Source organism: Homo sapiens, chromosome 10 (genome assembly GCF_000001405.40).
Source record: "Homo sapiens chromosome 10, GRCh38.p14 Primary Assembly".
In the NCBI taxonomy this organism is placed as follows: Eukaryota; Metazoa; Chordata; class Mammalia; order Primates; family Hominidae; genus Homo; species Homo sapiens.
This window is the reverse complement of record NC_000010.11, coordinates 22,803,183-22,826,834: the sequence shown is the minus strand read 5'-3', so window position 1 is coordinate 22,826,834 and position 23,652 is coordinate 22,803,183. Positions and strand designations below refer to the sequence as shown.

The 23,652-nt window shown below is 40.5% G+C and overlaps 3 annotated features.

Annotated features, from left to right (window-relative positions):
* Positions 1,188–2,387: an enhancer, noted in NCBI's record as "P300/CBP strongly-dependent group 1 enhancer chr10:23113377-23114576 (GRCh37/hg19 assembly coordinates)". NCBI's record gives its function as "activates an origin of replication core promoter dependent on BRD2, BRD4, P300/CBP, MED14 and CDK7 cofactors, with strong dependence on P300/CBP, by STARR-seq in HCT116 cells {active_cell/tissue: HCT116}" and the evidence as "EXISTENCE:reporter gene assay evidence [ECO:0000049][PMID:35650434]".
* Positions 15,179–15,768: an enhancer, noted in NCBI's record as "OCT4-NANOG-H3K27ac hESC enhancer chr10:23099996-23100585 (GRCh37/hg19 assembly coordinates)". NCBI's record gives its function as "activates a minimal SCP1, AML or CMV promoter by ChIP-STARR-seq in naive H9 embryonic stem cells {active_cell/tissue: H9 hESC(naive)}" and the evidence as "EXISTENCE:reporter gene assay evidence [ECO:0000049][PMID:30033119]".
* Positions 15,769–16,359: an enhancer, noted in NCBI's record as "OCT4-NANOG-H3K27ac hESC enhancer chr10:23099405-23099995 (GRCh37/hg19 assembly coordinates)". NCBI's record gives its function as "activates a minimal SCP1, AML or CMV promoter by ChIP-STARR-seq in naive H9 embryonic stem cells {active_cell/tissue: H9 hESC(naive)}" and the evidence as "EXISTENCE:reporter gene assay evidence [ECO:0000049][PMID:30033119]".

Genomic DNA, 23,652 nt, shown 5'->3' with positions numbered 1-23,652 from the left:
CAAGCCGCTTTGGCATTCATGGTGGTGCCTGCCAAGGTCTCCAGGGCTCGGGGCTGCAAGGATGCGAGATGTAAAGAGGACGCTCTTCCCTCTCTCCCTTACTTGCCCCGGGTATCTGCTAGGAAGAGAAGGGAACCAAGGATGCCTGCTCCCCTCTTTCTAGATGGGTAGCCATTCATCTTCAGTCTGTACCCCTTTCAAATGCATCCTGGATCCTTGGGACTCCCTTAAAAACACGTTCTTTTTCCTTTCTTCTCCTCGGTTCTCCCTTCACTGATAGGTAATTGTGTCTCTCCTTACTACGGGACACTCCCCTCAGATGCATCCTCCAAACTGTTAATTTCCCAAACCTTAAACTGGTTGGCTTAGGATTGGACTCGGGGGAAGGGAACCCAGAAGCCCAACATCGTGGCAAAAGGGTAAAGTGTCTTTACCAGTCAGGCGTTTGGACTTTCCCTCCCTGTGCAAACTGGTAAAAGCTTTTTGAGCTGTCCTTACCCCTCCCCTTGTTTTGTTTTGATACATGTTTTCTAATAAACTGGTTTGTCTGTTCTTGCCTTCAGGCCATCAGACTCCAAACGGTCATGCAACCAGAGCCTCTGACAATGGCCCCTTCTGCCAGGAACCCTTAGATAGGAGCTGATAGCTCCCTCTGAGGGAGCTCTGACTGCCTTTTCCCCAAAACAGAGCCTCCTGTCAGTAGGAAGCAGTTAAGATCGGTCTTTGTCCTTATCCTTAATCTAAGGGCAGTTAGGTGTACTTCTTTAGAGCAGGGAATGAGGCAGCCAGGTGGGAGGGGAATCCCTGGGGAAACTCCAACCAGCCCGCCCTCTAAGGTGGAGGGTAGGGAAGTTTACGCCCTTTGCAGCGGGGAGGCCGTGGCCCCTCCTCTTCCTGTGCAGAACCTGGGATTCAAATGGCCTGGCGGGAAGTGCTCTAGCAGAGGGACTCTGGCCTTGTGAGAGTCCCTGTTTCCCCTTTTTTTTTTCCCCTTTTCACCCAATAAAACCCTGCTTTACTCACCCTTTAAACCATCTGCGAGCCTAAATTTTCATGGCTGTGGGAGAGACAAGAATCCGATCTTTAGCTGAACTAAGGAAAAGTCCTGCAACAAAATCATTCCTTAGTTTCTTCATTGGTGAAATGCGAGTGATAGCCACTTCACTGAGTCGTTCTCAGGATGAAGGGAAATGACAGGCAAAAGCACTTGGCAGAGCACATGACTAGATCATAGGTGTTCCCAAAATGATCGTTTGAATCTGTGGAATCATGCTTTCTTACCTTGTTCTTAAGTGGTGCTTTTCTTCCTGGGCTTATTCACAACACTGCGTAAAATAATTTTAGATATAATGACTAGTTTAGGTAATTAGTATCCTCTTCATTTTATAAATGGAATAATATTCAGACTCAGCGATTAGGGTTGTGTCCGCTTGAGACAATTATGCCAGTCATGTAGTATAATTTGGTTCAAAACATTTTTTCTCTTTTCCTTTTAATATACCTTTGCAGATAATTTGCATGGGACAATTTTCTTCTTACCCAAACAGCTGACTGAATCACACATTCTTGCTGGGATGAATCAGTGAGGACACACTATTATTGTTCTGAGATCTAAGACCTTGGTATAAAAGTTTTAAACGGAAGTGAGCAGTCACCTCTGGGGTAGTCTCCTGGGGGAAGGGCAACTGATTGATCACCCAAGTGACGCTAGTTCCAATTCATCATTGTCCAGGACACAGCCCAAGTCGTACACTTGCAAATGCATTCCTGTCACTCTCCAGGGTTGACTGGGCTCAGGGACTCAGACCAACCAACTTCACAAGAGAGGAAGTTAATAAACCAGCAGGCCAATTGGTTCATTTATCATGAATGATACCAGCATTTCCAGCCCCCACCCCATATGTGAACAATATGGAAAACCAGTTTGTGGGAACATCCGTAAGCCTAGAATCAGAACAAGAGGTATGAGTTGTACAATTCTAATGTTCAATGACACTGAGCTGTTTGGGTTCTGTCCATTTCAATTTGTTCTTTTGTTGCCTTCCAAGGTCCAAGGTAAAATGAAACCCTTTCAGGCATTGTTGTCAATAACAATCTGGCCTGAGTGTACCATGACTGAATGTTTCAGCCACGATTTTAGTGCCTGAAGTGGTCAGACCAGTTAATAATACCTCTCAGAAACACCCAACTTGTTGGCCAGATTCCTTGAATTTAAATTTTTTTAAAACTTTTTTGTTTAATTATAACAAGGGAATTACGTTGATCCAGTTAACACAAACTGTTGCCATGGTTCTTAAGTAGAAACAATCTTAACCCACCCCTGAAGCCAGGTAGGGTGAGGTGCTGTGAGCCCCCCATCTTTCCTCACTTGCCCATACCTGTGCTGTGGCCAAGGGCAGCAGCAAGTGTTGAAAGCGGTGCAGGAGGTGACAAGTGGCACAGACGTGGCCTGAGGGGGAATTGTGAGCACTGTGAGCTGGAGGTCATCTGTCTCCATTGCTTGGGAAGGAAATGAAACGTTGCCAATTGTTCACTTAGTTCATTTTCATTTCTATCCTTCACTTGATATTTCTGCCTTCTAACAAAATTGTCAGTGGGAGTGCCTTAAAATGCCATTTAAAAATAATATGTAAAATCTCCTAGTTTTCCAAAGGCTTCAAGTAAGCAGATTTTTTTTTTTTTTTTTTTTTTTTTTTTTGAGCCAGAGTCTGGCTCTGTCACCCAGGCTGGAGTGCAGCGGTGCGATCTGGGCTCACTGCAAGCTCCGCCTCCCGAGTTCACGCCATTCTCCTGCCTCAGCCTCCGGAGCAGCTGGGACTACAGGCGCCCGCTATCACGCCCGGCTAATTTTTTTGTATTTTTAGTAGAGATGGGGTTTCACCGTGTTAGCCAGGATGGTCTCGAGCTCCTGACCTCGTGATCCGCCCACCTCAGCCTCAGATTTTCTAGGGAAAGCTATGCAGATACAACTGAAATGCTGCCCTAAAAGAAGGAGCCATTAATCCCAATTTAAAACAGATTGGAAATCGCAACATGAGCCAACACCATGATCAGTTTCTCGTAAAAAGCTGGGTTACCTTTTAAATCCCACTTTTGGGAGACTTAAGCTAAAAATGAAGAAGGTTTTGTTTGGTTTTCTACAAAGCTGAACACCAAAGTTGAACGTTAGTCTTCAAATAAAGGTTTGTTCACTGGCTTCACACACTTCAAAGTATTTAATTCAATTATTCCGAGAGGCTACATATGAAATCATATCGCAAAAATGGCACCTAATCCAATAACTAGTAAAATATGAAATTCCTGTTGATATGAAATCAGCAATCCCCATAAGCCAAAAGAAGGACACACCTATCTTCACCTAGTGGAGAATGGTTTGTCTTTTACTAGTTCCCTGCTATTTTTAGCTGAAGTTAATCACAGTAGAAAGAATCTAATGCATCAGCTCACACTAAATGTTATTAATGACTAAGACAGCTTAACCTGTTGACCCACCCAAAGGATTAGTATTTTAACTAGGGACTATGCATTAACATAAAAGAATAAATCTCAGTTAGTAATATTTCAGGCATCTGAGACACAATGAGAAGAGAAATGAGTCAGCTCACAGCACATGGGCAATGTGGCCCAATGGGACAAAGTACAAGCTGTGGCTTTACTCTGATCTGAATGGAGTCCTGTGCCTGGAGCTTTCTAGCTGTCCACACCATTCAGATCTTAAGTAAGTTATTTAACCTATTGAAATGTGGGTAACAATAGCGCCTTCTCTGTAGGACTGTTATGATAAATAAATGAAATAATGTACGCAAAGTGCCTAGGACAGTGCCTGGCTTATAAAAAGACACCGTGACAGGAAAGCCAGTACATGAATGCTTCTCCATCTATCATAAAATCACAAAAAGCTGGTTCCACAATAAACTTCCAAATTTCACTTTCTCCTTACACTTATGGAATATTTCACAAACTTTCCAAGTACACAAATCTACAACCTTGCATTTAAGGGAGAAGTGAAATGTTTTTGTTTCTTTTTAAAATTAAGACACTATGGTATTTTCATTTTAGTTTATTTTTATAGAGATGGACTCTCACCATGTTGCCCAGGCTGGTCTCGAACTCCTGGCCTCAAGGGATCTTTTCTCCTCAGCCTTCCAAAGTGCTGGGATTACAGATGTGAGCCACTGCACCTAGCACGAACTGTTATTTAGAACTATTAAAGGGCTAAATAACCCTATCTACCACCTTATGTATTTATAGAACTTAGTTTGTGTTCATCTAAATATATGTAGAATGAGAGCTAGAACTGTTTTATAGTGAACTCTCAGACTCTCTTCCTCTTTGAAAAATATAATACTCAATAGTCGGAACTTGTTACTCAAAAGCTAGGTCACAGGGAAGATAAAGAAGTAATGCAGATGGGCGCGGTGGCTCACTCCTGTAATCCTAGCACTTTGGGAGGCCAAGGCAGGTGGATCACTTGAGGCCAGGAGTTCGAGACCAGCCTGGCCAACATGGTGAAATTCAGTCTCTACTAAAAATACAAAAATTAGCCAGGCATCGTGGTGGGCGCCTGTAATCCCAGCTACTCAGGAGGCTGAGGCATGAGAATCACTTGAACCCGGGAGGCAGAGGTTGTAGTGAGCTGAGATCGCACCACTGCACTCCAGCCTGCATGACAGAGTGAGACTCTGTTTAAAAAATAAATAAATAAATAAATAAATAAATAAATAAATAAATAAAACTAACGAAATCAGAAAGGGCATCAGGGAAACATCTTTAAAGAGAAGGTGAAAGGGAAGAAGGAAAACAATTTTTGTTAAAAATTATAAATAACTAGGCATAGTTAAATTTATTTTTTTTAAGTGAAATTTGTATTGGTGTTGTCCCAGTGCTGTATATAACAGAATATCTGTAGAAAAGCCCAGCAGAAAGAGGAGAAACCATTACAGGTTAAAAGGTTTCAGAGGTGGGGTGGTGGGATCAAGTTGTGTTAGCCAGCCTTGAAAGAATTTGCAAAATGGCTTTAAACTTGTCTGAGGCCAGTGCTGGGGCAGCCTCTATATCATTGCAGATGTGGAAGTATATAAAAATCTGATAATCCAAGTCATGAGCCTCTTATAATCAGGAGGAAGCTGCAAGGAATTTATGAAAAGGAAATTCCATTTCACCAGGACATGTGACTGTGATCACCATCTGTTTAAACATCTTAATAGTTTGCGGCAAACAACTAAAACCACTTTTTCCCCCCTACAAGTCTATCCAAGCACTTTCTGTGTGTCCAGATGGAATTTAAACCTCCCTTTCCTAATGTTAGACTAAAATCTCATTCTAAACTGGAGTGAATTGGGGCTAACTATAGTGGAAAACATTAAAAATTCATCCTTCAGCTACAAAATTTAATCAAGTGGTAACTTCTCTAAGGCTATGGTGTGGAACTTACTATTATAGAACAATCATTAGAATTAAGTGAAGCAAAGATCCTTCAAGCTCCTCCTCATTTTGATTTATTGATTAAAAAATATTAAGCATCTCTAATATAAGCATCTACACTTCAGTATCATCTCTGTTGTGTTTAAAACAAAAGTTAATTGAGGTAAATGTGTATACTTTGAAATATTTATTCTGACCATTATCACTTTCCATCTCATGAACATCAAAGATTTTCTTATTTTAATCTGCCATTTTAAAAACAATGTTGGTCAGGGCACGATGGTTCATTCTTGTAATCCCAGCACATTGAGAGGCTGAGCTGGGAGGATCTCTTGAGCCCAGGAGGCTGAGGTTGCAGTGAGTTATGATCATGCCACTGCACTCCAGCCTGGGTGATAGAGCAATACCCTGTCTCTAGAAAAAATAAACAACGAAAACAAAATTGATGCACTAAAGCTAAATTTATCAGATTAACAGTAATTCTAGGTAGCCTCACCTTGTGTCAATATCTGTATTCAGTGCTAAATTGAACAAAAAAGAAGAAATTCCCAAAAGGACCCACTGCAGCTTGCGTCCCTAACAAACATTTGATGAGGAAGGACCATTGATCATTATGTGCTTGAGATACATCCAGTCTCTGCCTTCGAGAAGCTCCAAGTCAAGTGAGACAAGTAGATAGAAAGGTGTCACATCTATTATCAAATCTTTTGCAAGCCCCTGCAATGGCTCAACTGTGCTGTGGATATCAAGTCCCCAGGCTGTACCGAGGCTTGGGCCAGAGTCAGAGAGGAACCGTGTCTCCACAAGATCAGCACATGGGGGCCTGGGAAGAGAAACTCAGGATGAAGAATTCTGGGTCAACTGCTCCTCCTCAGTGGCAACTCCCCTGCCAGCAAGGACTTTGAGATGATCGGTTGTCTTTTAAAGGATAGTGACGTTCCCTTGTACTGCCTCTACCTCTCTGCTTATGAAGTCACTACTCTGCCTTGAATATCTAACTTTGAGTAGATTCTTAGGGAAGGGATTTGGAACCAGATGAGAGAGAAAGACAGTTATAGATGGGTCTCAGGTCTCCAGAGTAGTTCCACATTTGAAGGTCTGTTCACTGACTCAGTTCTTGTTGAGTTTGCTGAGATGCTAACAGCAGGTTCCACACAATGTGGATTCTACAAGATATATTTGCCTGCCATCTCCCCACTTCCTTCAAAAATCAATGAGTTTATTTAAATACCTGTTTCTATAAAGCATCGGTTGACTTATTTCTTCAAACAGGAGAGATCCGGAGAAGGAGAAAGGACCATAACATCTCCCCTTCCTAGTATATCACAAATAGAACCATGAAGGACATAGAACCCAACCGAGAACCCAGAAGTAAGCCATGGTAAAGATGAACTCTGGAACCCTTTGACAAAGGAAAGGTTGGGGTAACTTTAGAAGTAGAAGCTTATGAGAAAAAAACAGAAGAACTCAGGTGTCAAGGCAGAATAGTCTGGGGCCATTTCGTGTCATGCAATAGTTGTACACACCTCCTTTGTCTCTGGGGATATCATTTTATTTCAGTATTTCACCTTACCTGACATTCATAATGAGGACCCTAAGACACTGAGGAAAGGTTAAATTGTATGCCCCTTTACATTCAAGATATATTCATTTTTAAAAACTTCTTGTTTTGTTTTGATTTGATTTATATAGCTGGATGCATAATGGTAAGTTTGAGCTATCTAGAAAATTTCCCTGGAACACATACTCTTACATTGCTAGATGAATAAATTATTAATGTAACTTATGTAATGTAATACCTAATGTAATGTAATGTAAAATAGACAAGGAGACAAAGCTATGACATATCAAATTTTTTTCCTTTAATCAGATTTAAGACTAGCCTACTTCAAAGTTTAAGGTTAGAAGAATTTTACTTTGCTAATGGAAGTGGACTTCTTATAGAAGAAAAATCACTTTTTTTGAAGATAGAAATAGATGTTATTGTAGTCATTTATGCAGTGAAGTATCTATTTGTCACATTTTAAAAATCCCGGTAGCAATTTTTTCTTGGTAAATTTTAAAAAGATATATTAACATTTTTCCATATGTCTGATCTGCAAGGTTGTTGGGGTATTTTTTTTTAACTTCAGTTTAATTTCTTGGGAAATTTTATATTTTGGGGGGATAAAAAGTCCCAAGACATTTTAACTCAGATGATGGAAAACTAAAACGATTGGCCCTTTTAAACAAGAGCACATATTTTGTTTTAAAAGAAATACTTAATAGGAAATGAATTCCCATAAAACCAAAGGTTTTTAACCTATAGCACTGGTACAAGAAATACATCATGGGATATAGACCTTTTTATAGCAGAGCCCTCATCTGAAATGAGTATTAGTTATTAGTCAGTTTTAAAGAGCATCATTTAACGGAGGTGTTTCCTTTCATTTGTTTGTTTGTTTGTTTGTTTGTGAAATCCCCCAATTAACATTCTCTATTGCTTGGAATGTTTGAGGCTACAAGATAAATCCCACAGTTACCTATGTTTTTTCAGCTCGTTTGTGGTATACAAACTCAGGATTTAGTTTCTCTTCCTATGTGAATCATGAGAAAGGCAAGAGTACAGCACTTTTTTTTTAATTTTTAAAACTTTTTATTGTGAAAAATTTTAAACATACGTAAACACATTGTAGTAGTATAGGGTAAAGATTTTCTTTTTTTTTTTTTACAGCAGTTTTTAATATATTTTTTTCACTGATAAAAGGAAGTCATTCCCAAACTAGCCTCTCAAAGAATATTGATATTTGTGCATAGAACTAAGATATCCTGCTCTTTAAAAATCGTATAATGATGACCTTTTCACAACTCAAAGAGAAATTTAGGTTAATAATAGTGTCTTCTTTGTTGGTTTTCACACGGGTATTTTTTTTTTCTTAAAACTTTGACTCTTGCTATAAATTGTGCATAGGCCTTTTTGTCTACAAGAAATCATTTTTTTATTCAACACAAAAGATTATATTTAGTTTCCACATGTTTACTAAATCAATATTTCATGGTATTCCATGAAAAGACTCATGACTTCTAGAAACTAAACCACTTGAAATATTTTGAGAACCACTAATATAACTCTTTCATTAATTAATATCAAGCATTTTGGCCAGGCGTGGTGGCTCACATCTGTGATCCCAGCTCTCTGGGAGGCTGAGGTGGAAGGATCGCTTGAGGCCAGGAGTTTGAGAACACCCTGGGCAACATGGTGAGACCCTGTCTCTATGAAAAAAAAAAAAAAAATTGGTCGGGTGTGATGGCTCACACCTGTGGTCCCAGCTACTTGGGGGACTGAGGCTGGAGCCCAGGAGGTCAAGGCTGCAATGAGCTGTGTTCATGCCACTGCATGCCAGCCTGGGTGACAGAGTGAGGCTGTCTCAAAAAAAAAAAAAAATTAGGCTGGGTGTGGTGGCTCACACCTGTAATCCTAGCACTTCGGGAGGCCGAGGTGGGAGGATCACGAGGTCAAGAGTTTGAGATCATCCTGGGCATCCTGATGAAACCCTGTCTCTACTAAAAATACAAAACTTAGCTGGGCATGGTGGTGTGCGCCTGTAGTCTCAGCTACTCGGGAGGCTGAGGCAGAAGAATCGCTTGAACCCGGGAGGCGAAGGTTGCAGTGAGCCAAGATCGCGCCATTGCACTCCACTGTGGTGACAGAGCGAGACTCCGTTTCAAAAAAAAAAAAAAAATTAAGCATTTGAGTGCGAATGTAGCACCTTGATATGAGTTTGCAGGTTTCCCTACCCCCCCAGTGTGACTGTGTCTGGAGATAGGACCTCTAGGAAGTAATTAAGGTTAATTAAGTTCATAGGGCTTGGAACCTTAACTCAACAGTACCATGGCCTTTTAAGAAAAGAAAGATTCTAATCAGATATAGTGGCACATGCCTGTAGTCCCAGCTACTCAGAAGGCTGAGGCAGGAGGATGACTTGAGCCTAGGAGTTTCAGTCCAACCTGGGCAACACAGTGAGAACCCATGTCTTTAAAAAAGCAAAAAGAAAATGAAGATTTTCTTTTTCTCTTTCTCTCTCTCTCTTCCATGTGAAGACACAGCAAGAAGGCAGCCATCTGCAAGCCAGGAAAAGAGCACTGATCAGAAACTGACCATGTTGGCACCCTGACCTCAGATTTCCAGCCTTCAGATCTGTGAGAAAATAAATTTCTGCCTATGAAATACCCAGTCTATGGTATTTTGTATGGCAGCCTGGGATGATGACAGAGGGGGAAATGGCAGCCACGTATGAGTCACACAGAAGCCACAGGTCTGGAGTGTTGGAATACAGCCAGCAAAGTTCTCATCCTTCCCCAGTCAAGATTGCTTTTTCTTGTGTCAGTCAGCATGAGAAACATTATGCTACAGTGACAACCCCAAAATCTCAGTGGCTGACAAAGTCACTCTGTCCCAGGGTGCCAGAGGCTCCATCTCAACATGTGCTTTTATGATCGTAAAGACAGCCAGGCACGGTGGCTCATGCCTGTAATCCCAGCACTTTGGGAGGCCGAGGTGGGCGGATCACCTGAGGTCAGGAGTTTGAGACCAGCCTGGCCAACGTGGTGAAACCCCGTCTCTTCTAAAAATACAAAAATTAGTCAGGTGTGGTGGCATGTGCCTGTGATCCCAGCTACTCAGGAGACTGAGAGAGGAGAATCACTTGAACCCGGGAGGCGGAAGTTACATTGAGCCAAGGTGGTGCCACTGCACTCCAGCCTGGGTGACAGAGCAAGACTCCATCTCAAAAAAAAAAAAAGAAAAAAAAGATTGTAAAGACAAGGAGAGAGGATGTGATGACTCATGAATGAACTGGCCCTTAAAGCATTTTCCCAGAAGTGTATACATCTGTTCACATTTCACTGGCCAGAGTAAATCACGTGGCCATGCCTGGCATCAGCATGGGCAGTAAAATGCACTCTTATTATGTGCACAACAGAGAAGAGGAAATAGGTCAGTGGGCCACACTGATGACTCTCCTCCAGGAGTGTAGTGTTGGGGATGGCCTGGCCATCACAGTGACACACTACGGTCAACGTGACGGGATTCAGGAGGTGAGCTATGGGACAGAAGATGCCTAGATTAATTTTCCCAACCCCTGGGGCACCACAGAGAATACAAAAGTGTGTTACATCTTTTCCAATAATTTTCAGTGGAGGTGATTATGAAGACATACACAGGAAAATAAGTAATAAAAGGCCAAGAGTAATAAAACATCAAAATGAGTGACATGCATATATTGAATTATGCAATTTCATAGAAGATGGAGATTACTCTGCCATAAAATCATTAAGAAAAATTCCATAGATGAGATAAAGGTTTAAATACAAGCAAGCTTAGATACAGTAAGAGAGGGAAGAGGGATGGGCACAGTGGCTCACACCTGTAATCTCAGCACTTTGGGAGGCCAAGGTGGGAAGATCACTTGAGCCCAGGAGTTCAAGACCAGCCTGGGCAACATAGTGAGACCCCATCTCAGAAAGGAAAAAAAAGGTAGAAAGAGGATTCAAGGCAGGAAAATGGCAGGAGGAAAGGATTGGAGAGTGAATTTGGGGGCATGTTCAAAAGGCAAAAAGGAGACAAGCCAAACTGAATCAGAAGTTTCTTTGTAGGAATAACAGAATTTGAATTCTGCTTTATAATCTTTGAAGGTCATGTCCTGTGTCTTTGTTTAAGTAGGCAGTGGTGTGCAGATGTTTGCATTTCAGAATAATTTTTCTGGTGTAAAGCATGTAGGCAAAGATGAAATAAACCAGAAAAAAGAAGTCAATTTATTACTATACAATAGCCTATGTGATGAGCACCTGGAAATGAGTGTTCATTATAGGAACTAAAAATAAAGTATGATAACTAAAAAAAATTTAAGATGAATCAGTGGGTTTACTTTAGGACTGGTGTGCTCTGTAAAATGAGGGGGAGAAAAGGCAAAGATGAGGTCAAGGTTTGAAATGTAAGTGATCCTCACTAAATTGGGAAGGAGACCAAGGGAACACACAAATCTCTCCACATTCTAAGACAGCATCTAAAAAATCCTCTTGTTAAGATTATAGTGGGAACTTAGGTTACCAAACTAACAGGATGGAAAGGTCTGCTTATTTAAATGATCAAATCTTACAAGAATGCATCAATTACTAAGGTAAATTTGAGCAGACATTTGATATCATTTATTTTCAGAAGCATGGGTCTACATTTATTCTGTGAGATTACCTTCTAACTGAAAATTTTCATTCAAAGCTTTCTGGTTTCATCAGAAAAAAAATTTTCAGTAGCATGGTCACATAAGCAATATATCCTGAAGATTTATATCCTCCTTGAACTTATAGGCCAGAGCAAATCTTTAAGTGATCCAAATAAAATACAATCAGAAGGTTAACACATAGAAATATGTTTCTGTATCAAATTCACCTTCTGAATAAATTTCATTTGTTTTAACTCTTTCAGATGGTAAAATTGATGGAAAATCAGTATTCTTCAGTGGTATAATCTAAAACAAGATATCCTTTTAAAATGCTCTTTGCAATAATTTTTCCATTGCATAGAGCAGCAATCACAAGTATAGCAACTACTTCTATCACTCAGTAATTTTGGCAAGCAGTACCAGCATTCTCTGAATAAAAAGAATTAATCTGAGTCATTAGATCACAGTTCTATATTCTCTTTTATCTGAGCCTTTATTCATTGTTCTATCTCATTGGAATTGATCTCTACCTGGTTAACGATCCACATTCTATCCTGCTACTTAAGGGCCTGCTCTAATATTATTTCCCTTTTTCTGAAATTTTATTGCATTTGCTGTCTTCATACTTCATTTAGACTTGTCATTTTCTATGCTTATTACTTGTTTGCTTTTCACTAGTGCCTATGGAAAAATCTTCCTCCAGGATAGAGGAACAAACTAAATGACACCTCCTCTAGGCAGTTCCAAATAGACCCAAGAAGGTGAGACATTCTGCAGTTCATCTGGCCATGGTAGATGCTCAGATACACACTGTCTCTTCAATAAGACAATATCATGAAGAAAAAGACTCTGCTGTATGAAATAGTGTCTATGATATATAACAGGGGCATTTCGTGGTCCTGGGTTAGAACCTTACCTGGACAAGGCAGGAATAAAGGAATTTTTTAGGAGAAAGGTGAGAAGAAAACTTACGGACAGGAAAAGTTGGAGACTGCTCACTTAAAGAAGTAACTAACAGGCCAACACATGCAGTATGATCTCCTAGGAAAAGAGATTTGGAAGGATAAACGCTAAGAATGTAATAGTTATAATCAATGGGTCACAGGTCTCTTCATTATCTTATATTTGGTTTCTCTGCATTTTCTTACATTCTACAATCTACCCATACTGCTTCTATAATAATAAAAGGTTTTTAAAAATTTTTTTAATTTTTATTTTTTTACAAACAAGGTCTTGCTATGTTGCCTAGGCTGATCTCAAACTCCTGGGCTCAAGTGATCCTCCTGCCTCGGCCTCCCAAAGTGCTGGGATTATAGGCATGAACCACTGCACCCTGCCAGCAGTTATTATTTTTAAGAGATACAAATCTCCCTGTATTCCCAGCTCTCCTATCCCTGACCCATACCTGCTCACACTCCCACATTACATGTTAATTACACAAAGGAGTCCAGCCAGGGAGCTGGGAGAAATCCTAGGTATTTCACTTTCCCTCACCCACCACAGATTTTACCACCTAAATATTTCTCCAATCTGTTCATTTCTCTTCTCTACTACCATTGACTTTGATCCAAGCTTATTACCTTTCACTGAGTGTGAAGAGTTTGTTTTCCAGCCAATCTCCCTGCCTCTCATCAGGTTCTCTTCTCCACCAGAGTGAGTTAAAATGGCAACATCATTCTCTTACTTATAATCCTTCAGTGGCTCACCATAAGATATGGTCCATGCTCACTATGGATGGGCTGGAGATCTCTTCAGGACCCTGCCCATGGGGATGTCTTTCATCATACCTTGCTCCACACTGTCCTAAGCTCTAGCATTACGGAGCTCCACGTAGCTCCCAGCACACTTTACACCCTGCTCTTTTTCTCAAGTGTTTCCCTATGCATAGAAAACCCACCTCTCTCTCCTTTGAATGTCCTCTTCTTTCCCTTACCTACAGATGGCAAATTCTTATAATCCCTCAAGTATTATTTCTCCAGCAACCCTTCCCTGACAGGCCCTGGCACTTAGGCTGAGTGTCCCTCTTTATGTGTTCGAGGTACTGTGAAGACTTCAGCTCTTGCAGTTACCATTGGCCTTGTTGTATGGAAATCATCTGCTGATGTGTCTATATCTGTCACTCAACCAGAGGTTATTCCCAACAAAGACCGTGAAGCATCTTATTCACAGACATGGCAGGTACACAACACACATTTCAAAAGCTGACATTGGCCAGATGCAGTGGCTCACGCCTGTAATCCTAACAGTTTAAGAGGCTGAGGCGGGAGGATCGCTTGAGGCCAGGAGTTTGAGACCAGCTTGCGCAACATAGTGAGACCCTATCTCTACAAAAATAAGACAAATTCAGAAAAGCATGGTGGCACATGCCTGTAGTCCCAGCTACTCAGGAGGCTGAGGTGGGGGAATCACTTGAACCCAGGAGTTCAGGGCTGCAATGAGCTGTGACTGCGCCACTGCACCTCATTCAGCCTGGGCAACAGAGTGAGACCGTGTCTCAAAAAAAAAAAAAACATCTAAACGGTGTGACTGATCAGTGAGCTCCTTTGGCAGTGAGTTTCCTTAGTCTTCAGCCAGCTGCCACCATGTCCCAGAGCATGCCCAAGAAGCAGCACCAGGGCTGCAGACAGGAAACCTGCCCTTAGAAAGAATAACGCCCACTAAGAGATGAGAAGGGCCATCTCTGTGTCTTGCTGGATTGTGAAGTGATTGGAAAGCCATCAGCCTCCTGGGTTCCAGATGCCTACCTGAGCCAACTCCTGGGATGTAGTTGTTTCCACCTGACTTCCTACCTGCCAGACCCTTTTCTCCTTCTTGCCATAGATAGATACAGATTCTCTATAGCTTTCCAAATGTTATCTACCCTAGAATTTGACCCACTTTATTCAAACTTCCTATGCTCTAGTTTAGTCCCTAAGATGGGCTCTGGGACAGCACAGAGCCTACTGGCCAGTTGCTCGCCTGCTTTTGCCTAAGCATCGCTAAGACGGTAAGCCTTCAATATCCAACTGTGTACATCATAACCTCTCCAAGGACAGGGCCTCAGCTTTTCTATGTCTTTGTCTTCCTAACCACTCTTAGCTCAGGCCTTTGCCTGTAATAAGCACTCAGACCATCTTTGTGGATTCAGTCACTTCCTGAATATTTTTTTCAAGACACTCATAGTTTCATAATTTATCTGCTAACAATATTTTTAACTTTTCAAGAATAGCACTGTCTATTCATCAGTTAATATCTTTCAACATATCTCCATCTTCAGATGGTTTTATTTTTATTATTTATTGTTTGTTTGTTTTTGAGACAGAGTCTCACTCTGTTGCCCAGGCTGGAGTGCAGTGGCATGATGTCAGCTCACTCAGCCTCTATCTCCCGGGTTCAAGCAATTCTCCTGCCTCAGCCTCCCAAGTAGCTGGGATTACAGGCACCTGCCACTACGCCCACCTAATTTTTGTATTTTTAGTAGAGACAGGGTTTGACCATGTTGGCCAGGCTGGTCTTGAACTCCTGACCTCAGATGATCCACCCACCTCAGCCTCCCAAAGTGCTGGGATTACAGGCATGAGCCGCCATGCCCGCCTTGGATGGTTTTAAAGTCTACTCCCAATCCTCTTCATCTATATAATCTCCATTAATTCAATTGTTCTCTGATTTATCTTAGTATTTGGAGCACATTTTAAAGCAACTTTTGTAGAAATCACACTGGGATCATCTATATTCCAGAAATAAGCATATTTGACATTTTTTAAATTAACTTCTACTAGATTACTAAATTCTCTTTTTTTTTCTGCCAAGTTCTCTAGATGTTGCTTCAGTATCTCACATTCCACTGTTGGGGAGGAGACATCTCAAGCTAAGCTGGCTTTAGTTCTCGTGGTGGTAATATCTTCCTAAGCCTTCCCTTCTCCTACTTCATGGAATGATAGACTGAGTGTCAGCCACGTGGCCAGGCTGGGGCCGAGATTTCCTAGGCCAGAGTCCACTAAGTGCTGGTTTAGCGTTGAAATGCTGAGAAGAGAGAATAGGAGCACCTGGAGAGAGAAAGCAGGGGCCCAGGCTGGGATCCAGGAGCCAGATGTCTCAAAGTCTGGAAGAGGAAAACATGTGGAAAAGCAGGGCAAAATCTGGCTTACCACCCAGCCTGGCAGGGCCAGGAAGGCATCCTAGTCCTTCATTTCCTGAGCCAGCAGGTACATGAGACAAAAGTGGAGGAGCCATCCTCAATTCAAAGGCTGTGGAGTTAGAGAGATTAAGATCCTTTATAAATTTAAACGTTTAACTACAACACTGCTGTGGTTTGGTTTGTCCCTACCAAAACTCATGTTGAAATTTGATCCTCAATGTGGCAGTGCTGGGAGGTGTTTGAGTCATGCCGGGAGGGGACTTATCCCTCAATAATAGATCAATGCCCACTAATGCCCTCCTGCTGGGGTGAATTCTCACAGGAGTGGATTGGTTCCCATGAAAGCAGATCGTTAATGAGTCTGGCTTCCTCAGTCTAACTCTCTTGCTCACTCTCTTGCCATAGGATGTCTTTGCCCACTCCAGCTTCCTTTCCACTGTCCACTATGAGTGGAAACAGCCAGAGGCCCTTACCAGATATAGATGTGCAGTCTCGAACTTTGCAGTCACCAGAATCATGAGCTAAAAAGCTTTTTTATTCTTTATAAATTACCCAGTCTCAGGTATTGTTATAGCAATACAAAATGTATTAAGACAAATAGGTACTTCATTTTTTCATTCTTTGTAACATGTGGTATATTTTCTCTTTTTCTATTCCTTATCTCTGCCCTGCTTATGATTACCCACCTCAAGCCTTTGTTCTTGGATTTTAGATCTAAATTTTAAATGTTTTTAGATTTATAAAAGATTTGTTTCCCTGCTCACTTTCATTTATCATTTCTGATTATTTGGTCTATTTACTTTTTTAATAACAATAGTTTACAGATTGGCAGCACTCCATAATCTATTTTTTAAATCTGTCTCTTTATTAAAAATATTTGCTTCAGAATGCAACGAAAACAAAAATAAATAGATGGGACCTAATTAAACTAAAAAGCTTCTGCACAGCAAAAGAAATAATCAGCAGAGTAAACAGACAACCCACAGAGTGGGAGAAAATATTTGCAAACTATGCATCTGACAAAGGACTAATACCCAGAATCTACAGGGAACTCAAACAAATCAGCAAGAAAAAAAACAAATAATCACATCAAAAAGGTGGCTAAGGACATGAATAGACAATTCTCAAAAGAAGATATACAAATGGCCAACAAACACATGAAAAAATGCTCAACATCACTAATTATCAGGGAAATGCAAATCAAAATCACAATGAGATATCACCTTACTCCTGCAAGAATAGCCATAATTTTAAAAAATCAAGAAATAACAGATGTTGGCAGCGAGGTGGTGAAAAGAGAACACTTTTACACTGCTGGTAAGAACGTAAACTAGTACAACCACTATGGAAAACAGTATAGAGGTTCCTTGAAGAACTAAAAGTAGAACTACTATTTCATCCAACAATGCCACTACTGGGTATCGACCCAGAGGAAAAGAAGTCATTATATGAAAAAGAAACTTGCCGAGTGTGGTGGCTCACACCTGTAATCCCAGCACTTTGGGAGGCTGAGGTGGGCAGATTACTTGAGGTCAGGTGTTCAAGACCAGCCTGGCCAACATGGTGAAACCCAATCTCTACTAAAAATACAAAAAATTAGCCACACATGGTGGCACACGCCTGTAATCCCAACTACTTGGGAGTCTGAGGCAGGAGAATGGCTTGAACCCAGGAGGTGGAGGTTGCAGTGAGTTGAAATTGCACCATTGCACTCCCAACTGGGTGACAGAGCAAGACTTCATCTCGTCAAAAAAAAAAGAAAAAGAAAAAGAAACTGCACACTCATGCTTATAGCGGCACAATTCACAATTGCAAAACTATGAGACCAGCCTAAATGCCCATCAGCCAACAGTGAATAAAGATAATGTATTATCTATGATACCATGGAATACTACTCAGCCATAAAAAGGAACAAAATAGTGGCATTCGCAGAAAGCTGATTGGAGTTGGAGACTATTATTCTAAGTGAAGTAACTCAGGAATGAAAAACCAAACATTTTACGTTCTCGCTTATAAGAGGGAGCTAAGCAATAAGGACACAAAGGCATAAGAATGATATAATGGGCTTTGGGGCCTGGAGTGAGGGCAAGAAGGATGGGAGTGGGGTGAGGGATAAAAGACTACACATTAGGTACAATGTGCACTGCTTGGGTGATGGATGCACCTAAACCTCAGAAATCACCACTAAAGAACTTTTCCATGCACCAAACACCACCTGTTCTCCCCAAACTATTGAAATTTTAAAAGAGAACAGTAGAGCAGGTAATTACGTATAAAAACAATATAAAACAAACAAAATACCAAAACAGCCTACCTCCTAGGATTGTTATGAAGATTTATTGAAATAATATATATGAAGTGCTCCAAGCCTGGCATATAGTAAGTACTCAATAAATACTCTTTTTAATGTAAATAAATAAATAAAAAATATTTACTTCAGAAGAAAACACAGGAAAATATTCTTGTGGCTTTGGGTTAGGGCAAAGATTTTTTAGATGGGGGATAAAAAGCACAAACTATAAAGGAAAAAAACCTGTTAAATTGAACTCCATCAAAGTTAATAATGTTTGCTTCTTGAAAAATACCATTAAAAAATGAAAAGACTTCATTTTGGGAGGCCAAGGCGGCCAGATCACTTGAGGCCAGGAGTTTGAGACCAGCCTGGTCAAGATAGTGAAACCCCGTCTCTACTAAAACTACAAAAATTAGCTGGGCATGGTGACACATGCTTGTAATCCCAGCTACTTGGGAGGCTGAGGCACGAGAATCACTTGAACCCAGGAGGCAGACATTGCAGTAAGCTGAGATGGCACCACAGTGAGCTGAGGGTGCACTCCAGCCTGAGTGACAGAGCAAGACCCTGTCTCAAAAATAGAAAAGAAAAAAAGAAGAGACAAGCCATGGATTGGAAATCTGTATTTATATATGAATATAAAATAAACATAGATATGACAAAAGATTTGTACCCCGAATATAAAAAGAACTCTTAAAACTCAAGAAGAAGAATACAAATAATCCAAATGGAAAAAATGGGCAAAAAAAGTTTTGACTACACATTTACGAAATAAAAATAAATGAATGGCCAAGAAGCACACAGAAAGATGTTTATTTAATATCATCAATCAGTAGAGAAATACAGATTAAATCTAAAATTAGACAACAAAATGCATCCATTAAAATGGCTAAAATTAAGATAACACCAAGGGTACATGAGGATGTGGTGTGACTGGAACCCTCATCTATTGATGGTAAGAATGCAAAATGCTGCAAATCTTTGGAAAAACAGTTTGACAGTTTCTTTAAAGTTTAAATATGCATTTACCATATGCATGTACCAACATACCAATGTACCGACATTTTCATCCCTGGATACCTACCCAAAAGAAATGGAAACATATGTTCACGTAAAGACTTTCATGTGAATGCTCACAGTAGCGTTATTCATAATAACCTCCAAAATGGAAACAGCCCAAATGCTTACCTATGAATAAACAAAATGTGATGTATCCATACAAGGGACCCAGCAATAAAAAGAAATGAACTACTAAAATGAACAACATGAATGAATCGCAAAAACACTTCTGCTAAGTGAAAGAAACCAGACACAAAAGAGTATATATTGTATGACTTCATTGATAAACACTTCTATAAAAGCAAAACTACAGTGACGGAAAGCAGATTACTAGTTTCCTTGGGCTAAGGACTGAAGTGGGGGTAGAGACTTACTGCAGAGGGGCTCAAAGGAAGGTCTGAGAGTGATAAAACTGTTGGAAACCTTCTTGTGATTATAGTTGCACAACTGTGTGCGTTGACCAAAACTCATCCAACTGTATACGTAAAATGGACAATTGTAAATGACTTAGAACTCAATGAAGTAAAAAAAAAAAAAAAAATTCCTTCACAATCTAAATCATTTCCTTAAGCTAGTTATCTACACATGGTAGAGTTTTCTACAGTGTTAAGTCTGCTTTTTATTGCTTTTGATTAAAGTTTGATCTCTGTGTGTGTGTGTGTATGCATGTGTGTGTTCCAAATATCCTCTTTCATTGAGAACTAAAAGTATTAACTAAATTATTCTTCTGTTTCATGAACAAGTCTGTGTCATAGGGGGAAAGGTTTTTCTCTAAGCATTTATAAATTTACTGGAGAATTTTTCCAGAATTCCATTTGTTTTCTCTTTTCTCATTCTAGAGCTTGATGTGTTGCTCTTTGATAACTATGAGAGGCTCTCATAGTTGAAAGGCTCTCTCCAAAGCCTGCAAGTTTGGAAGGAAAGGCTGAGGGCGCATGGAGGAGTAGGTCTGTGAAGCTTGGGACTAAAGAACACCAAGCAGAAAGCAGGCCCAGGCTGGAGGATGGGACACCACTCCCCTGAAAATGGACAGCAAGACTCCTCCGAGTGTGGCCAAAGAACATCCAAGCAGGGCAGTGCTTTTCAAGACCTGTCACCAGACTCAGAGAACAGAGATTGGAGCTGGTCAAGGTGAGCTTGGGCCAGGGCGGGGAAAGGGAAGACAGAGGCAAGGGAAGGTGCCGAGGCAGCAGGGGCTGCCTTTAATTTCCCCGGAGGGCAGAGAATTGGAGACATGCCTATAGAATCTGGAACAGTTTCAGTTCTTCTGCTTCTCACAGTGGCTACTAGACATTCTTTCCTTTCCAGATGGACACATCAAAGGCTGGGAGAGGAGACTTCTGCTCTTCCCATGCCTTGACCCCTCTTCTAAGTACTCCAAGCACTCTCTGTTGGAGCTCCTGAAATCCCTAAGCAGGATGAGTTCCTTGATGAGATCCCAAGGTACACATGTGCTTAAGGAGACTTGTTTTTTCAAAGAAAAAAAAGACAACAACAATGTGAACAGTGTCCTTACATCTCTAAAAATTTTTTTTTCCTTTGGTTCTCTTCATGTGGGCAATATATTCCTAACAAAGGGATAATGAAATAACTAATTTTCTGAGTTGCATCTTAGGAGCATCTGCTATTAGAACTGGCCTGCTAAAATCTCATTCTTCCCTTCTAAATTCTGTCTTCATCTCCATTCCTGCCTTCTTTCTCATTTCTTACACCAAGTAATTGTACCAGGATGCACCCTGGTACAGGTGCATTCACTGCAATGTTCTGCTCTGGAGGACAGAGCCCACGTTAAAGGGCATCTGTGTGTTTTCAATGCATCTTGTCCCTTTAGTGACCATTCCTCAGCTATTGCTAAGTTTCATTTAATTGAGCTGGAGTCATCATCTGGGAAAGGCAGCGAGACCAACAAGAATACGAAAGCCTCTCAATAAACCTTCAAATGTAGGTGGGAAGGGAGAAATAGGACTGTATTAGAGGATAATTTCAGAAAGTAGGCAGGAACAAAGGACTTGCAGAACAAACAGACTCCAAGAGAGTCATGTACGAAGCAGCACCTGCTGATGACTGCAGAAATGAAGAGACGGTTATTATCTGAATACTCCAATAGACTGGCATATTGTTCTGGCCCAGTGCCAGGCGCACGTGATGATCTGGCTAGGATTATTAGAGCTCTTCTGTTAAAGCACAGATCACATGTGTGCTGAGAATGTGTTCTTTCTCTGGATTTGAGGTGACAGACAGCCATATCACATGCCATCCCTTTTTCCATCCTGATTCCAGCCAGGCAGTAAACCAAATCCTCACCCAGTCTGTCTCCACCATGTGGTTTCCCTAGCCAGCTGAACAAAATATTTTCAGAATGTGGAATGTAAACAAAGTTCCTACTGTTAGCAATTCTGTGTCATTTACTTGTGGTTTATTTTATTTTACTTTAAGTCACATTTAAATTCAAAAGATTGCCAGCCTGCATGATGCATGTAAACAAATCAGAAATATAGATTAGAATTGCAACTGATTAGTTAGCTGTGAACGTGTCTGTTCAAATGGAAGAAGGGAGAGGAAAATCTATTATGCTCCTGGGATATTGCGTCTCCAAAGGAAATTCATTTGTGAGAAGGGCTTTAAAAGCAATGACTTCCGTCATTTGTGTTTTCTACACACTGGTTACTGTAAAAGCTAATAGAATACCTAGGCGGAATCTCTGCTTGGGCTCACGTAACACAGCTTCACAAGGAAACACAGGGAGCAATTGCAAGAGGGAAAAGGAAGACCTGCAAATACACCTTAGCAGACGGTGATCACAAAATATGTGTCCCTCGCACTACTGGAGATGTTTTTCAAGAAAATTCTATTTTCCAGGTTTCTTATTTTTGATTGTTTAAAAGTATATGTCTACAATGCATGATGCTGAATGATAAAGGTTGTATGAACCTTCTGATATTCACTAACAATCTGAATCAAAGTCGGGCATGGTAGCCTCAGCCCTTAGGGAAGCCAAGGCAAGCAGATTGCTTGAGCCTTTTAGTTAGAGACCAGCCTGGACAACACAATAAGACCCTGTCTTTACAAAAAAATAAGAAAAAAAAAATTAGCCAGGAGTGGTGGCATGTACCTGTAGTACCAGCTACTTAGGAGGCTGAGGTGGGAGGATCACTTGAGCCCAGAAAGTCAAGGCTGCAGTGAACTATGATCACGCCACTGCACACTACTGTGGATGACAAAGTGAGACCCTGTCTCGAAAAAGAAAAAAAAAAGGAATCCAAATCAAGATTTGCCTTTGTTTATACATTTCATCTAAAATATCCTCTGTCTTCCAAATCAATAGGGAGCTAAAGTGGGCATAACAACTTTACTATTAGGTAAATATTAGTAAAATATTTACCCACAGACCTACACGAGTAATGTTTTCCTAGCACAGTGCCATGAACTATACATTTTCTAAAATCTTGTTGACACTTTAATTACACCATCCACCTTGTTTATATTATTTGGAAGCTGGTAAGCTAATGTGAAAATTAACTGAATGATACATTTCTTTGAGTTCTTCTTGGTATCTTCTGAATTGTGGTCAAGTAGCAATCCTAGGACCCTAGATGAGCCAGGCAGCAGCAGACGCAGATGCCGGTGAACTCACTGCATTTCATCTTCAGTACTACCTTCTTCACTCAAAAGTAATGGCTCACCCAAGGGGTCTTATTACACTTTCTCAAGTTATAGCAGCTGTATCTTGATTCACAAAAGAATCTTCCTCAGAATAAAGCCCCGTGGAAAAAGGTTGTGTGCCCTACAAGATTAGGCACCTGGAGGATTGGAAGAACAATCACCTTGAACCACACATTATTTGGATCATTTGGCAAAAGGAAAAGCAACTTCCTCTAACGGGTGAGATTTGAAAAGTTTTCATCAGAGAAGGAGAAATAGATAGCTCAAGAATGGGAACTTAAGTCATGCGAGAGGTAAGAGAGAGGATAATCTGTGTTTTGAGATCAGTGGCTCTGCAGATAGATTTTGGTTCCAAGCCTGAGCATTCCTACATAGAAGAGTAAAACTTCATTCTTAAATAAAGCCCTGGAGCCAAATAGAACATTCCTGCAGGGTGACAAATAGAAGCTTAATCTTCCCATACATTTCTGATTTCTTTTATAAACAAAAATTTCAACTCAATCTTTCATTAATTTGTTCTGAAAACAAATCATTTATGATCAGTTGTGGAATATTTATTGTCAATCTTGTTGAGTTACTGTAGCACATTTGTCTATGTTTTCTGTGTCCAGAATCTCCTATTTTTGGCTGTATGCCCCACTTTTTGTTTCTTATAGTGCATGCATGAACAATATGGAAGTCTGACTTTAATTAGGCATTCACTTGTAAGCCACATCTTGAGCATTTCATTGAGAACTGTTTTCATTGTGAATAATTCTTACTGAAAGAAGAGTGTTGCTTAGCTCTAACTTGAATCTCCTTGATCTAAAATTAAAACCATGCTTGTCTATTTTATTATGAGGAGAAACATTCATGCTTCCTACTTATAATTTCAACTTGGCTCATAGAAGAAATGG